General features: G+C 52.6%; 1 protein-coding gene across 27 annotated transcripts in view, besides 4 other annotated features; it reads right to left on the bottom strand.

Annotated features, from left to right (window-relative positions):
• Nucleotides 661–16,823, bottom strand: part of DYNC2I1 (dynein 2 intermediate chain 1) — a 119,454-nt gene continuing 103,291 nt past the window's right edge. For 21 of the 27 annotated variants that reach the window (XM_047420560.1, NM_001350914.2, XM_006716041.3 and 18 more), the window contains one exon: nucleotides 13,170–13,778. In XM_047420560.1, the coding sequence (XP_047276516.1) occupies nucleotides 13,580–13,778 (199 nt within the window). In that variant the 3' untranslated portion in view covers nucleotides 13,170–13,579. Of the gene's footprint in view, nucleotides 12,914–13,169; nucleotides 13,779–16,823 lie in introns of those variants that run through there. The other 6 variants (XR_007060061.1, XR_007060060.1, XR_007060062.1 and 3 more) reach the window with 6 other exon arrangements.
• Nucleotides 1,426–1,655: an enhancer, noted in NCBI's record as "active region_26934". NCBI's record gives its function as "activates an Ori minimal core promoter by ATAC-STARR-seq in GM12878 lymphoblastoid cells {active_cell/tissue: GM12878}" and the evidence as "EXISTENCE:reporter gene assay evidence [ECO:0000049][PMID:35858748]".
• Nucleotides 1,426–2,106: a biological region, named in NCBI's record as "H3K4me1 hESC enhancer GRCh37_chr7:158749944-158750515".
• Nucleotides 1,535–2,106: an enhancer, noted in NCBI's record as "H3K4me1 hESC enhancer chr7:158749944-158750515 (GRCh37/hg19 assembly coordinates)". NCBI's record gives its function as "activates a minimal SCP1, AML or CMV promoter by ChIP-STARR-seq in primed H9 embryonic stem cells {active_cell/tissue: H9 hESC(primed)}" and the evidence as "EXISTENCE:reporter gene assay evidence [ECO:0000049][PMID:30033119]".
• Nucleotides 15,349–16,195: an enhancer, noted in NCBI's record as "H3K27ac-H3K4me1 hESC enhancer chr7:158735855-158736701 (GRCh37/hg19 assembly coordinates)". NCBI's record gives its function as "activates a minimal SCP1, AML or CMV promoter by ChIP-STARR-seq in naive H9 embryonic stem cells {active_cell/tissue: H9 hESC(naive)}" and the evidence as "EXISTENCE:reporter gene assay evidence [ECO:0000049][PMID:30033119]".

The raw sequence follows: 16,823 nt of genomic DNA, 5'->3' as shown, positions 1-16,823 counted from the left end.
GATGGCTTGAGCCCAGGAGGTTGATGCTGCAGTGAAACATGATCATACTACTGCACTCCAGCCTGGGCAATAGAGCAAGACCTTGCCTCAAAACAAACAAAAACAGCACGAGGCAGCCACATGGCTATTGCAGGAGCAGGAGGGGCTCTCCCAGCAAACTTCTGCTTGGGCTGACGTTGGGCCCTGTGGGCATGGAGCTTTGGGCCCCTCCCCCTGGAATGGGTTGTGCTGCAGCACAAGGCACTGTCTCCTGCGGAGGAGCCTGGTGGAGTCGGCCACAGAGGAAAGGGTTTAATTCATCCTCGCTACGTTTCCCACACATGCTGGGGAGTACCATACACGCCAGCATTGCACTGGCTTCTCCTGGGTTGACCAGAAGTTTCTGTTGTGCCTGGTGTGGGCAGTTGTAAATTACAGGCTTTGAGTCAGAAGAAACCTTAAGCCCACCTGATGCTCTCGGCTCCGACTGTGCTCAGGCTCTGGCTCAGCAGCCTGTGCTCCCCGGCGTGTCCCCGCCTCACTTCGTCTAGGGGGTTGCTCTCCTGGAGGGCAAGGAGGCTGCAGTGTCACGGCTGCACCTCCCCGCACGATTCGGCAGGACGTGCCCAGACGGCAGGACTGAATTTTCCTGTTGTGGCAAAATTAAATTCTGAGCAAGTGTTATAGGAGGAGTTTTGTCTGTAAACGTTTATTCAAGAGGCAAAGGTAGCCTTTCTGGCTGAAAACTAGAAACTCATTCTATTTAACTAATGTGTAGTTTGCGGGGAGGTGGGATTTAGATGTATTTAAACCCCACCCCTGAACTATTGTGAGCTTTCTAGTGTGTGAAGCCAAGATACCGAACAAGTCGGCAAGAGACAAAAACGGGGAGATGCCAGGACGAGCATCCGTTCTGCTCCGCAGTGGCCCGGGGGCCGGTGTTCCCGCAGACACCAGCAGCTGATCCGCGCACAGAACAGGACCCCGGCCACGGTGAGGAAGAGAGAACGCGCACGCTTCAGATCTCTGGTCGGTAGGTGGCTGGAACGCCAGGTGTGGGGCGGGCGCTGCAGAGCCTCCCACGCGGCACAGGCTTCTGCCTGCTTTTCAACCACGGCTTTGCTGCTTTGACATTTCTGGAATCAAGGTGCACCTCATAAGCAACACCAACGAAAATCAAGTAGGGACGAGGCTGTGGCTGACGGGCAGGTGCAGACCACACCCTCTCCACGACCTGGGGCGTGTCTGTGGCTGACGGGCAGGTGCAGACCTCACCCTCTCCACGACCTGGGGCGTGTCTGTGGCTGACGGGCAGGTGCAGACCACACCCTCTCCACGACCTAGGGTGTGGCTGTGGCTGACGGGCAGATAGTGAGTAAATTGAGGCACTTCAGGTGCTCCCCGGAGCGGAAGGCCGAGGGGCCCTCAGGGTCCCACAGACACTGGGGGGCAGTGGCTGACACGTCAGGAAGGGCTGGCCTCAGCGCGTGGCATTTAAAGCCCCCAGGCAGGGAGGGGTCCCCTGTGTCTGATACAGCACGTAGCTAAACAGCCCTTGTGTAAAAAGTGACACGCCCGGCGCTGCTCTTTCCCTAGGAGCGCTGTTATGGAGTTGGCGGTGGACCTCACGAGTGCCGAGTGCATTTGCTCCCCGGGGAGGCTCGATGCTCAGGGACTCCAGGCCTCGGCGTCTGCAGCAGATAATCACAGAGGCTTGCCAGGTGGCCTCCGGTGAGCTCCGTGTGGCTGCAGCCCAGCTGGAATCGCTGAGATTAGGGAGGAAGAGGGGCCGGTTCCTCATAGCCCGTGGCACGTGGGAAGGATGCGCCCCCGGCGTAGAGCCCGCGCTGGGGACCACAAACACGCCCCTCCAGCTGCTACCCACTTTCATATTCTGTTCAGGAGCTACCTGGTAGGTTTTTTGGTTAATTTTCAATGAATGTAAGTCTATATTTCTAATGTATAGGAATAAAACAAACAAAGAAGTAGTCTATCCACAACACACTTCCCAGGGGTTGGGCAGCAGTGGGCTCAGTCCTGCCAGAATCGGCCCCACAGGAGCAGCCCCAGCAGCCGGGACCTGGAGCCTGAGGCCAGCGCCGCAGAGGTTGGAATCCGGAAAGGAAGGCGCCCTCCAAAATGACGTGCAGTGAGTCTGGATGACTTGAGGAAAAGAAGAAGAACATGCATTTTGGATGTCTATTTACAACAACACTGATTTCTTAGATTTAGAGAAGGTGGCAAAACCCTCCACTGAATGTGATTAAAGTCGTGGAGAGCAAGGTGGGACCCAGGCCGGCAGCAGCAGCAGCGAAATAGATCAACAGACAACAGGGTGTTCAGGACCCAGTTCAGGGCTGGAGAGGACAGAGATCAACAAAGAACTTGGTCATCGCCAAGGAGCCCGATGCCGGGTGAGTGTGGACGGCAGCTCACGGGAGCCCTGCCCGTGCCCATCCTGGTCCAGCCACGCTTGCTCGAACCACAGAGAGGGACAGCTCAGCCCACAGCTACACAGAGGAAGAGCCTGGGCAGCTGCCCACAGCCCCAGGGATCAGGCCTAACATTTTCCTAAAACTTCCTATCTGTGTTGCCTTTTCCACTCGCACCGTCTCACTTACGCCACAGGCTGGGAGGTAAGCAGGGCACGTATAGTCCCCACCGGGCACTGGGATCTGAAGCAGTCGGCGACTTGCCTGGGGACAGGGCTGCTCCACAGATCTGGGCATCAAGCTGAGGTTCCGGCTCCAAGCCCTGTCGCCTTCTCGCCTCTTCATTTGCTTTGTGGCATCACAGCCTAAGCAAAAAGGAGAAAGCAGTTCGCTCAGGATGGGAGTACTCTCGTCCTGGCTTCCGGAAGGTTCCCGACACAGGTCCCCTCCTCCTACGGTGCAGGCCCCGGCGCTTACGGAGCCACTTCCCAGCCTCCCTGGCAGCCTCAGCACCACGCTGTCTCCGCTGCCGCTTTAACTGTGGACGTGGTGACCAGCAGCCTTCCAGAGGTGGCCCCTCCAGGAACGGTGGCATCAGCTCTGTGCAGGGAGGACAGCTGCTCCCAGACGAAGGGAGGAGGCCTGGGTCCCCACACAGTCCCTGATTCAGGGTCGTGCTGGACACGTATTCTGCACGGGGCAGATTATGCGGATTTTAGCCTTGTGGATCCTACAGCCGCAGCCACAGAAAGATGGAGACAAGGGCACGTGGCTGTGTCCCAGGAAAACTCTCTCTACAGCTGCCGGCCACTTCTGGCCGCCTCCCGGTCTAGACGCTCACATGAGAGAAAAACAGATTTAAAAAATCATTTAAGCCATTGCCTCAAGGCCATTTCACAAATCCAATGACAGGCCAAATTGGGCAAGCACAACTATGAGTAAGGCCTATTCCAATATTACAGAAAATCTGCAAGACAGTTTAGAGGCGAGGTTCCGCCATACCTGCCAGATCGCCCAACCCCTGGGGCGACACCAGGCTGAGGACACACATTTCTACTTCTCGTCTCTGTGCCTTTGACCTTCCCATCCCTCATGCTTCTCCAGCTTTGTGGCTCCCCACAGGGCTGTGTTTATTCTGTGATCACTGCCCATTTTGGAGGTCACAAGCTCTGGAGCTTACAGGAACTGGGCAGGACATTAAAAAGCAGCGTGTGGGGAGTGCTGTGGGGAACTCACGGGCCCTGTCCCATGGAAAATATTCAAGTTCAAACGTTAGTAGAACATCACGAGGGTCAAACAAAATACGCCTGCAGGCAGGACCTCTGATTTATGTTAGCGCTGGGTGTCTCCGCCTACCCACAAGGCAGCGCCAGAACCACCGCCTGGCTCTTAGCACAAAATCTGCTCATAAGTGGATGCTTAGGGAGTGTTTGTTGAACTGAACAGAGGTGAATTATAGGCTATTACCCCAAGACTCTGAAATAGTAGACATGTTCTGTGAAAACCTAGGGGACCTTTTTCCAAATCGGGGGCCGATTAATTCAGCTGTTGGAGGCTCTGGCCCCCATGCAGACTGAAGCCTCGGTTCAGGGCCAGCGGATGGCAGAGGTGCGGCAGGGTCAGAGCTGCGATCCCTGCAGATCCTTCAGCACTGGAGGAGAAACAGCCAAAGGGCAGGCGTGGCCCAGAGCCAGCGGCAGCTCTCCTGCACCAGCCTGGGCAGAGACGGCATGAACAGAGAGTAAAGTGTTAAGTCCAGGGATGCTTCCCCCAACATTATTTGATGGTCTCTTTCTTAAGAAAACAAAGGAAGCAACAATGTTTCAACGTGCCTCTTCAGGTATCCTCAGTGATTTATATTAAAAACCAGAGCCTTTAGAAACATCTTGAAATCACACTCTCCAGACTCACCCCAAAATACCCAACAGTGAAGGAGGACTTACTGTCCCACTAGAATGGGCACTTTCTCTGGAGGGAGGAGAAGGTTGTCTAAAGACACTAACAGTAGGTGGGGCTTGTCTAGGCCTGTGGGGGACGGGGCATGGTGGGGGTGTGGGGAGGGACCGCCTTCCACCAGAAAGGATGAAATGAGCTGGATTTTCATGTCATAAACAGATTTACTCTCCATGTCCTGATGTGTATAAACCTTTAAAAAGACTCTAGAAATGCTATAATATTCAGAGCATTCTCTCTGGATGGTGAGACTATAATTTTTTCTTACTTATTTTTAATATAATTTCAGTTGTCTTCAATATATAAATATTACTTTTAGAATGTAGGAAATAAGTGTAATTTTTTTAGAGAGAGAGTCTCATTCTGTCGTCCAGGCTGGAGAGCACTGGCACGAGCTCAGCTCACTGCAAGCTCCACCTCCTGGGCTCAAGCAATTCTCCCACCTCAGCCTCCCAAGTAGCTGGGACCACAGGCACACACCTCCACACCCATCTAATTTTTATATTTTTAGGAGAGATGGGGTTTCTCTATGTTTCCCAAAAGGCTGGTCTTGAGCTCCTAGACTCAAGTGATCTGCCCACCTTGGCCTCCCAAAGTGCTGAGATTACAGGTGTGAGCCACTACACCCAGACTAAATGTAATTTTCAAAAGAATATATGTACAATGCCCTGGTCTTAATAAGTATCTGATGCATGATAGGTGCATTAGTCTGTTCACACACTGCTTATAAAGACATACTGGAGACGGGGTAATTCATAAAGGAAAGAGGTGTAATGGACTCACAGTTCCACATGGCTGGGGAGGCCTCACAATCATGGCCAAAGGCAAAGGAGAAGCAAAGGCACGTCTTCCAAGGTGCAGACAGGAGCGTGTGTGCAGGGGAACCGCCCTTAATAAAACCACCAGATCACGTGAGACTTACTCACTATCTCGAGAACAGCACAGGAAAAACCTGCCCCCACGATTCAGTTACTTCCCACCAGATCCCTCTGAAAACACGTGGGGATTACAGGAGATACGCTGCAAGATGACATTTGGGTGGGGACACAGCCACCCACAGCAATAGGTTTTATACAAATATACACGTATGCTTGTATGTATATGCCATTCACCACCTTCCCCAAGCTAATTTTTAGGCATATATATAACATATATGCCATTCACCACCTTCCCCAAGCTAATTTGTAGGCATATATATAACATATATATAACCTATGATGCATCAGGTACTTATTACACATATATGTAACATACACACACATGTAACATATATATACACACACGCATATGTAAGCTACTTTTCTGCAGCCTCAACCTCTCCAGCTCAAGCCATTCTCCTACCTCAGCCGTCTTGAGTAGCTGGGACTAGAGGTGTGTGCCACCATTCGCCCCCAGCTATGTTTATTTGTAGAGATAGGGTCTTGCCATGTTTCCCAGACTGGTCTCAAACTCTGGGCTCAAGCAACCCTCTGTCTTGGCCTCCCAAAGTGCTGGGATTATGATAGGTTATATTTGTATCAAAGTACCATGTGAGCAGGAACCTTGTACTATGATCTCACTTTATAGTTTTAAATAATACCATCATATTTAAGAGAATTACTTTATTCTAACCTGCATAAGTAAAATAAGCCAAGTGACTTTAGACTTTAGAATTCAGTGTCACTCAATTCAGGAGAGGAGGGCGAGGAGGGTAGGAACAGCCACATGTGGGTCAGCTCAGTGTCACTCAATTCAGGAGAGGAGGGCGAGGAGGGTAGGAGCAGCCACATGTGGGTCATCTCAGTGTCACTCAATTTAGGAGAGGAGGGCGAGGAGGGTAGGAGCAGCCACATGTGGGTCAGCTCAGTGTCACTCACTTCAGGAGAGGTGGGCGAGGAGGGTAGGAACAGCTACAGGTGCTGAGAATTCCCACCAGGGTCTGTCTGGCCACAGGGCGCCCTGTCCTGTTAGCCCATGGGTGCGGATGCCACCTGGGCTGGCATTGCACAGGTGGGAAGGATGGGGGAGCGTGATGCTGGCAGAGGTTGGGCAGGAGCCCGAGGCAGTGGGCTCTGGACTCACCACCGTGCACAGCAGGCGCTGAGGCTCACGGAGTTTCAAGGGGGCGCACCCTGGGAGGTGGAAGGTGCGGTGGGTCCTGAAGGGTGCTGAGGAGAGTCCCCTCAGGCTGAGCCCACGCTGTGCAACATGAAGGTGCGGATTCTGTCTTACGACGCGGCTGGGGGTTCACCCTCCTTTTCTCCCTGTCCACACAATATGAAGGTGCGGACTCTGTCTTACGATGCGGCTGGGGGTTCACCCTCCTTTTCTCCCTGTCCACACAATATGAAGGTGCGGATTCTGTCTTATGATGCGGCTGGGGGTTCACCCTCCTTTTCTCCCTGTCCACAGTTCAAGGCTCCTTCTTATTCCCTTAGGATATTTTTTTAAGTATCTAGTTTACTTTTCTGCTTTTACTGTCAGGCTGTAAAGAGCCCACCAAAACCACCTCCTTAAAGAGCAAAAAATCCAACTGGCATTGGAGACCCCATCTCAGCCACGGAAGAGGCCTTCTCTAACCCAGACCTAGGAAGCTTCTTGCACCCCCTTAGCCATGGAGAAGAAAAGCTAAAAATACCAATTCAGGTAGGCGGGATGTCCACTTTTTCCCTGGAATCCTTAGCTTGCGTGGGACACACTGGGATGGGAGCTGCTCCTCCCGTGCTCACTGGGGAACCTCCTCAGAAACTGCTCTGGACAGAAGGTGGGAGGAACCTGCCCACTTTGAGGATTCCCATCCCCCACAACATGTGACTCTAGCGCATCCCACAGGTGCCAGCGTGCGTGTTTACCGCGCCCTCCTCGGAAGCCCCTCTGGGCTCTTCTTCTGCTGGTGGATTCTTCTGCTCCTCTTCCCACGTGGATTTCCACCGCGACCTTGCCACGTACCATGGCTTCGGGCCCCATGAGTTTCACACCCACCATGGGTGATGCACGCCTGTGAGGTTTGGTGGTGGTGAGAGCTTTGCAGCAGGAAAGGCGGGTCTGGAGGATGCCTCAACCCAGGGCGATTCTATTCCCAGGGGGTGTCAACACGGAGGCTCCAGAACACATCCTTCTAAAACTCCCTGGAAGCCCTCACGTCCCCCGAGGCACAGCACCCAGGGCAAAGGCCAGGCCTTGGATGCAGGGAGGTAGGAGGAGCTTCCCATGGACACACTGGAGAAGAACATGCTCCTTCAGCTCCTCAGAACCGGTGCCAGCTCAGCCTCAGGCAGCCCCAATGCCAGCTGAGCCCCAGAGGGAGTTAGAGGGGTGAAGACTCAGAGGAGCCCGGGAAGAACCACCAGTTCACTTCTCCGCTCCCTGCCCTCTCACTTGACACCTCTCAGTACCCAAGCACTCCCCAAACTGTGTACCTCCCACACAGGTGCCAGGACAGAGGCCAGCATGCCCTGGGGCTCCAGCACCTTCCTGTGGCTGGTAGGAACACGCCCAGTCTCTCCTTGTGGCCCTGGGCCTCCAGCTCACGCTCCCAGCACCTGCACCTCCAGGCCTGGCTGGGGACCCCGTCTCCCTGTGCCTCTCGCAGACTCCCTGCCCGTCTTTGCTTCACTCCCACTTGTCCTTTGAGACCTGGCTTGGTGCCATCGCCCAGGGACCTGCCAGGATCCCAGCTGTGCCTGATGATGGGGGCAGGGTCCCTGCCAAGTAGAAGGAAAGGCACAGCCACATCCAGGCCAAAAAATAAAAGACAATGATTTACCTCCCTCTCTACTGTCCATAAAACAGGTCCAGCATTCAACCAAAATGCTTAAGTAACACAGAAAAAAGCAAGAATAAAACCACATTCCCAAGAGACAAAACAACCATCAGAACAAGACACAGATATGACTCAGATGTTGGAACTATTTGAAAGGGGATTTTAAATAACTATGACTGACACATTAAAGGCTGTGATGGAAAACGTGGACAACATGCAAGATCAGATGGGCTGGGCCAGATTCAGTAGCTCACAACTGGAATCATATATAGGCCAGGCACGGTGCTCACACCTGGAATCATATAGAGGCTGGTCCCGGTGCAGTATATCACACCTGGAATCATATAGAACACCTGGAATCGTATAGAGGCTGGTCCCGGTGCAGTATATCACACCTGGAATCATATAGAACACCTGGAATCATATAGAGGCTGGTCCCGGTGCAGTATATCACACCTGGAATCATATAGAACACCTGGAATTGTATAGAGGCTGGTCCCCATGCAGTATATCACACCTGGAATCATATAGAACACCTGGAATCATATAGAGGCTGGTCCCGGTGCAGTATATCACACCTGGAATCATATAGAACACCTGGAATCGTATAGAGGCTGGTCCCCGTGCAGTATATCACACCTGGAATCATATAGAACACCTGGAATCGTATAGAGGCTGGTCCCCGTGCAGTATATCACACCTGGAATCATATAGAACACCTGGAATCGTATAGAGGCTGGTCCCCGTGCAGTATATCACACCTGGAATCATATAGAACACCTGGAATCGTATAGAGGCTGGTCCCCGTGCAGTATATCACACCTGGAATCATATAGAACACCTGGAATCATATAGAGGCTGGTCCTGGTGCTCACACCTGGAATCTTAGGCCAGGCACAGTGGCTCATACCTGGAATCCCAGCACTTCGGGAGGCCAAGGTGGGCAGATCACTTGAGGTCAGGAGTTCAAGAACCAGCCTGCCCAACATGGCAAAACCCCATCTCTATTAAAAATACAAAAATCAGCCGAGTGTGGTGGTGCACACCTGTCATCCCAGGTACTTGGGAGGCTGGAGCACGAGAATCACTTGAACCTGGGAGGCAGAGGCTGCAGTGAGCCAAGATCACACCAGAGTGAGACTCTGTCTCAAAAATAAATAAAATTTTAAAAACGCTCGACTTGGCTGGGCACGGTGGCTCATGCCTGTAATCCCAGCACTTTGGGAGGCCGAGGCAGGCAGATCACCTGAGGTTGGGAGTTCGAGACCAGCCTGATCAACATGGAGAAACCCCATCTCTACTAAAAATACAAAATTAGCCAGGTGTGGTGGCACATGCCTGTAATCCCAGATACTTGGGAGGCTGAGGCAGAAGAATCGCTTGAACCTGGGAGGCGGAGGTTGCGGTGAGGCGAGATTGCGCCATTGCACTCCAGCCTAGACAAGGAGAGCGAAACTCCGTCTGAAAAAAAAAAAAAAGGAAAAATGAAAGGTATTTCCTTGATTCTTAAGCATCCTTACTTGTCTTGCTTTGCCCCATTCTCCCGGCCTTTGATGCTCCTCCCATGCTCTCCTCTAGCTTTCCGCTCCTTTCCCTGAAGCCGCGCCGCCTGCACCTCCTGCTCCGCTGAACTGCGCCGTCTGTGCGGCTCGGGCCCCTCCCTCCTACCTTTGCTGCTGTGCGATGATTCGTTCCACGGCACTGCCTCTGCTGTCATGGGGCCCTCAACAGACGGGCTGCCAACAAGCAGGGCGGGGTGGACCCTGGCTCTCGTCTACACACTGGAGTGGGGACAGGGCCGGGTGCACCCTTCCTCTTGTCTACTCCCTGGAGTGAGTGGGGACTGTCTACAGTCCTGCCCAGGCAGACGCTTTTCCAGGACAGATCAGCTCAGCTAAAGCAGCATCTTCTCTCCCAGGCTTCACTGTCTCTCAGATATTCTAAATAAACTATTTTAAAAAGCCTACTTCCGCATTCAGGACTGTGTGTGACTATGTGTGACTATGTGTGACTCTGTATCTTCAGAGATTATTTCTGGCGAAATTACATTTTGGCATTTCACCACCTGCGGGGTGTTCCTGGTGTTGAGTCTCCAAGAGGATGGGAGGCCAGAGGTGCTGTTGGACGGTGGTGCTGTCGCCCAGGGCAGCACCCACTGCTTGGAGGAACTGCTCTCTCGGGGGCAGACGTGGACCTCAGGGCGCAGAGGCTGCCCGGTTCTGTGCCATGTTCTCCAGTCCAGGACCAGCCATCTGTTCATTAGGAGTCAGTCCGAGATTAGCGGAACCTTCCTTAGTAGGAGGGCCGTGTCTCCTCTTTGCGTCTTCCTGAGCATTTTAGTGAGATTTGGAAGAGCTGATGATGTTAACCATCTGCCATTTTATTGTGAGGCCCCAAAACTTAAATTTCCTACTTGTGCTTTTACCATACCTGGGACCTTGAACATCTACATGTCACTGGGTAAACCACAGCCGCGACTGGACCCCCCTCTTGACTCCAGTTTACGTCAAATGGAATTTTGTAAATAATTGTGGGGGGTGTGGGGTCATTGAGGGACCAGACTGTAGCCTCCAGGAATAAAAGTCTGCATATCCAGTTGCGCTTGTACATTCCGATATGACTCTGCCCTGCAGACACAACTGCCACTCAGCCATCCCCCGCGCCACCTTCACTGAGCACCTCCCGTGTCCGAAGCACCCGGGGGCGATGACTGTGAGAAAACAGAAGTGCCTCCGTCCTCAAGAGCTCAGTCCAGCACAGCAAGCGGGGTATCCTCAGCACACAAATAACCACACGTGAGGTAACGAACGTTTTAATTTACTTCTACTGATGTGGCAAATGTTGAAAGAAAAGTGTTTTCTAAATAACAAAAACACGACTGAAAAAGAGAAAATTAAATTACCGCTGTCTGCCTTGGAAGAAAGCGCTCAGCCTGCGTGCAGCAAGGCACCAGGGTGGGCTTGGAGACCCCCGTGTGGAAGCGGCCTTGCTGTAAAGTCAGACGGGAAGCCCACGGTGGGAAGGAACCGCCTCCCGCACTGTCGGCCCACCTCTTGCCACGTCTGTTTTCCTAATCTGCTGTGAAATGTGTTTTTTAGAGGCTGCGATTACTCCATCCTGTTGCCTGTCTCACCTTCCTCTGGAAGATCCCGGAGGCATCGCTAGCGCCAGGGCAGGCTGCACCTGGGAGGGGCCCACAAGCACCGGGCCAGCTCCTCCCTGGGGGTGAGGCTGAGGGGCAGATCGTTGGCCTTTTTGGATGTTTCTTTCTTCACGAACTTCACATTTCTATATGGCTCAAAAAACACCCAATGCTTAGGAGCCTGGGAAGGACACATTCAAGGACATCATGGAGCAGAAGCTGCACAGGCCAACCAGCCACAGGGCAGAAGCCGCCCAATGGCCACAGGTGCTTCCGAGGCAGCGCGTCAGACACGGCAGCTGGGGAGAGCTGGGCCTCCTCTCGCCCCTGGCCTCCGTGAGGCTGCACCTCCTGGGCACTGGCAGAGCATGAGCAAGGGCTTCAGAGGGGGGAGTGAGCCCCCAGCCAGGCAGGAGGCTCACGTCAGGAGGACGTAACTGAGCTGCAGATGGTCCTCCCTTGGGAGCTCCCCCTAAAGGAGCAGCACTGTGACCGGGCACATAACTCAGGAGCCAGACAGAACTCCCTGGATTCCCTTGAGCTGATTTACTGAGCAGTTTCAGAGACCTGAGCCCAAGCAGACTGCCTCCCAGGTTACAAAGGAGTCAGGACAGAGAACGAACTGTGAACTGCAGATGATAGCTGAGAATTCGCAGACACCAAAGCCCAGAAGAGGCCCAAAGAAAAGGAGGGACAAATATTCATTCTAACTTTAAATAAGATGGAATCTGAGGCTAAGAACTTACCTCAGTCTCAAAACTTCTAGACCAATCATCAAGCGGGTTGCAAAACAGCAGCAAGGACGGTGAGTGGGTGTGGACTCGAGAGGCCGTGTGTCCACTCCACTTCCTTTCCACGCAACTGTGAACCTGGGTTCCGCGAAGATGCAGAGAGAGGCCGCGTGCCTGTCCACTTCCTTCCCCACGTGACTGTGACCCTGAGTTCCATGAAGATGCAGACGGAAGATGAACAAATTCCAGCCATTTGTTGAATGAGGATTGGCTAAGACTCTACTGACACAGCAGGCGCTGTAGCAGGCACCTGGAATTCAGCGGCCAACAGTTTCAAATCAATGATTAAAAAGCAAAGAAAGGCTGGCGGTTGCTCGGGTGGCTGGAGAGGCCCACGCGAGACGTGCAGCCCTGCCGTTGGGGAGGGGGCTGTGTCTGCAGCGTCACAGCCGGTCTGGTGGGTCCCTCCCAGACACCTTCCAGGTCTAAGACAAGTAAGCGGAGGTGATCTTGTGCCCCAGTGAGAAGACCTAACTGTGCCCATCCGTTCACCTCACAGACCCATCGATGGCCAACGGTGCTGGGAACATTCTAGGAGGGTGATGGGACAGAGGGATGGGTGTTTGTGACACATTCTGGGATTTTCCTGTCCTCACCCCAGAACTCTCCTGTCTTTGTGCTATGGTTTGAATGTGTGTGTCCCTCCAACATTCAAAGCCTGGAACTTAAGCACAAGGGTGATGCTGTTAAGGGGCAGGGCCCTTTGAGACGCAGAGCCCTAGTGAATGGATCGGTGCTGTCAGCAGAGAGGCTGAAGGCCCCAGGGCCTTTCTGTCCTCCGCTACTGTGCGAGGGCACAGCCATGAGGTACTGCGGAAAGCAGAGGGCAGCTGACCAGACACGAAACACGGGGCGCCTTGATGCTGAATTCCACCTGCAGGAAACAGGAGGTGCAGATTTCTGTTGCTGATAAACTACCCAGCCCAGGGCATTTTGTTAACAGCAGCATGATTCCTAGTCTACCTGAGCTACAAAATTCAAGAGAGTTTATTTACTTGTATGATTTCTACACAAGGACAACTTTTAGTACTAATGGAAAACGTGTCTGACTTGCTCTGCAAATATAACATTCCAATAATCCCAAAAGAAGGTGCTCAAGAATTTTAAGAAAACACTATTGGCAGAGGTCATTTCGGTGGAGTAATTCCTTTTAATTTAGACATGTGTTCACATACTTTATGCATAAGAAAATAGTTCATTAAGATACATTTTCATGGTAGGCTGTTTAAAATCTAGCAGTAATGTGACAATATTTAAACTGTTCTAAAAATAACTCGAAATACTCTCAGAAAAGAGCACCCTGGACGTGGCTCTACATTCCCCTGGAAGTTTTGTAAATGCTAGAATGTTCTTTGTTTCCACTCAAAAGTAGTCATCTATTTACTGGGAATACCAAAGACATATTCATGTAAAATAAATTATATACAGAATATACATAGTCTATATACATAAATATACTTGCACACAAATGTAGAATTATCCACCTTATGTCTTTTAAATCTGGGTCATTACAGAAACGCGGTCCTCTCAGCCACACCCGCTACTTGTGCAGTTTTCCCTCTGGCCACAGGGCTTCCTGCAAAAGCAGACGCAGCCTGTTGCACTCGTCCACCTCCGGGGCCGCCCACCGCCTCTTCAGGTGCTGGATGTCGATGGAGCCAGACGCCCTGGCCAGCACCAGGGCCAGGAAGCTGCCACCAGCCTTCTCAGGCTCACCCACCGCAGCCATGGCCACCAGCCTGCAGGGAGAGGGGCAGAAGCAGAGGGTCAGTGCACACAAAGGGACATTCGGTTCTGTCTGAGTCTTCAAAATGTCTACCTTCCATGGGAAGAGTGAAACGGATGAGAAATTCTAAAAATACCAATAGCCAAAATGAAAGCTAGACCAGAAATAAATGTGTGAAAATGCATTTCCGCATGTCAGAGGCCTGCCAGATGGAACTTCGCAGAGGTAAGTGATGAGGACGTGCTGCTGTCTCCTCAGGCCGGGAGTCAGTAGCCCCCAGCAGGTCCCTGGAGAAGGTGGGGGCCATCAGCAGCACAGGCAGGCCCATCTATCAGAGCCTCGTCCTTGGTCTCCAGCCTCCCTGGATCTCACCCACAGCTGAGTGTCAGGACTCACAAGTCTGCGTCTCCAGCCCGGACTCACCCTGGAGCCCCGGACCCCTCCACTCCTGGCCTCCATGGGACCAGCACCTCCATCATCCACCCAGTGCCCAACACGAGACCTGTGGCCACCCTGTCTCCCCGATCTCACTCCCAGGGGCCCCTTCCCTCACTCTGATGACCACACGCTCCCTGACCAGGCCCCAGCTCTAATCCTCTCCTGAGGCTGACAGAGACTCTCAAAGACACACCTCTGCTGTCCACCTGGCCCCCATTCAAACCCCCTCCTGTGGCTGGTAGAAACACGCCCAGTCTCCTTGTGGCCCTGGGCCTACGGCTCACACTCCTGGCACCTGCAACTCCAGGCGTGGCTGGGGACCCCGTCTCCCCGTGCCTCTTGCAGACTCCCTGCCCGTCTTTGCTTCACTCCCACTTGTCCTTTGAGATCCAACTTGGTGCCATCACCTGCCAGGATCCTGGCTGTGCCTGATGATGGGGGTAGGGTCCCTGCCCTTGTCACTACAGGGGTGAAAATCACATCCAACCTGACAGCTACCTGAGTGCACCCCCTCCCTGCTCACTCCACAGGACGTGGGGCGGCAGAGTGTGGGAATGAAGCCTCGTGACACCCCAAAAGGGGCAGACCATGAGGAACTACAAGCCACTCGGATTTTCACCAGCGGATACTTTAAAACTGCTATTCAATTGCGTGTGTAAAGCATGGGCAATGTTTAGCTGCAGACTTGAAAACATCAGTAACAGACGGTGGACACCAAAGGCTTCCCTGACACCGGGCAAATAAAACAGTCCCTTGGTAAACTATGTCTAGATGCTTTAAAACTACACCTACGGCAGATGTGCAAACACAGTACTAGCACCCGTCAGCTCTTTTACACATCCTTCATATTTGTTAAGGTAGACAGAATCCAAGCAAAGAGGGCAGAGGACAAAAGCAAAAGTTGGGCCCAACACTGAGCCACCACAAGGCTCCTGCCACCTCCCGTGCTGGCCCTGAGGGCCCTGCCTGTTCCCCACAGCCAACCTGCTTCTCAACCACATGCAACGGGTAAGTCATTGTCAGAGATTGTAACGTAACTCTAAAAGTGTTAAATCCTTGCTTGTATCTAAACTCCTTCCTTCCAAACATCCGTTTCTTCTTGTTCTGTTTCTCTGTCTAACCAGAGAAAAGTAACTGGGCACTTTCTGTGTCAGGTCCCTCTGGCTGCTCAACAGGAGGAGAGAGCGCCACCTCCTTCCAGAGCCTTTTCCCGTGTGGGAAGTAGAAGTAGAGGAACGTGGGCCGGGCTGCCGCCTCCTTCCTGACAGATGGACAGGGTTGACCCGGCGTCCGGCACTGCTGAGGGGTTAGGGGAGCTCCAGGGCAGCCAGTCATCGGGGTCTCAGCTGGAGATTGAAGCTGAGGTCCCTAGCACGTTCTCCTTCATGGAAAGCCATGATGCCCCTAAGACAAGGCTCCAGAACCGAAGGGTGCGTAACCTGCTAATGACAACAAACATGCTCTCCACTATGAGCCACGTTTGGAGTCCATCACACACAGAGCTGGGGCTCCTGTGCTCAGACCCTCCGGTCCCCGCCACAGCAGCACAGCCCACCTTGGGGTGTGCTACCCGCCCCTGCCCAGGCCCTGCTGCCTTCACCCAGACCTCATCTCCTAGGTTTCTGCCCAAACGTCCCCACAACAGGACCATCCTTCCTGCCCCCTCGGCCCTGACCCACGCTCGTGACCTCTTCCTCATCATCTGCCTCCACAGCACGTTTTCCAGCACATTTCGGGACCCCCTCGTTCACTCTGCTCATTGTCTTTCTTGCCCACCAGGGAGGGAGAGATCTCAGGGTGTGGAGCCCCGGCCGCCAGGCACACAGTCGGTGCTGGGTAAATGTGTTTATCCTGTAACGCAGGCATGGACATGCTTTCTGGAATAATAAACTGCAGGTGTGTTGTGTGGTTATCTGCAAATCACAGTCTGGATTTTAATGTATTTTTTAATAATCAGAATAACGTAAGTAAACCTAGGAATCAAACTAAATAAATGCAATTCTTAATTTCATTCAGATCTCACTGGGATACCCCCAACATTCTATTAAACTCTTATCTTTCCTTTACAAAAGGGCTGTGGGATTTCTCTCCCCAGGTCAACATGAACCCTCACAGTAGGAGAATTTATTAAAAAGAAATGTAAAAATCTCAAGAAAAAAAACACAGGTGAACAGACAAGCAGGGCCAAGGCAGAGCACCTCATGACGAAAGCTTTCGTGAACACTTCTGCTGTGAAACAAACAAAGCAACGAAGAACTACCTAACAGTGGTGTTGATGGGAGTGCAGCCGTCTTAATTCCATCAGTGACATCACGTGAACTGACATGCACGCCCCAGCCATACTGGTCTGCCTGTGAGCTGGGAGCCCCTCGAGGGGCCTGGGCTGGAATGGCTTTAGTGTGGCGTCATGTGGACCATTAATTCCACACACCATCCTCCTTTCCCCCTTTAGACACTAGGGGAACACCAAGTACCTCGTTCAGACATTACAAACTTATAGCTCATAAGATTGGCAAAGGAACATAACTAAGAAGCTCTCACAAACTATCATTTCTTACTCACAGAACACTAATGATGGGGAAATACCGCATGATGAATCTGTTAATCCAATAGACTAGCT

Source organism: Homo sapiens, chromosome 7 (genome assembly GCF_000001405.40).
Source record: "Homo sapiens chromosome 7, GRCh38.p14 Primary Assembly".
In the NCBI taxonomy this organism is placed as follows: Eukaryota; Metazoa; Chordata; class Mammalia; order Primates; family Hominidae; genus Homo; species Homo sapiens.
This window is presented reverse-complemented; position numbering and strand designations above follow the sequence as displayed.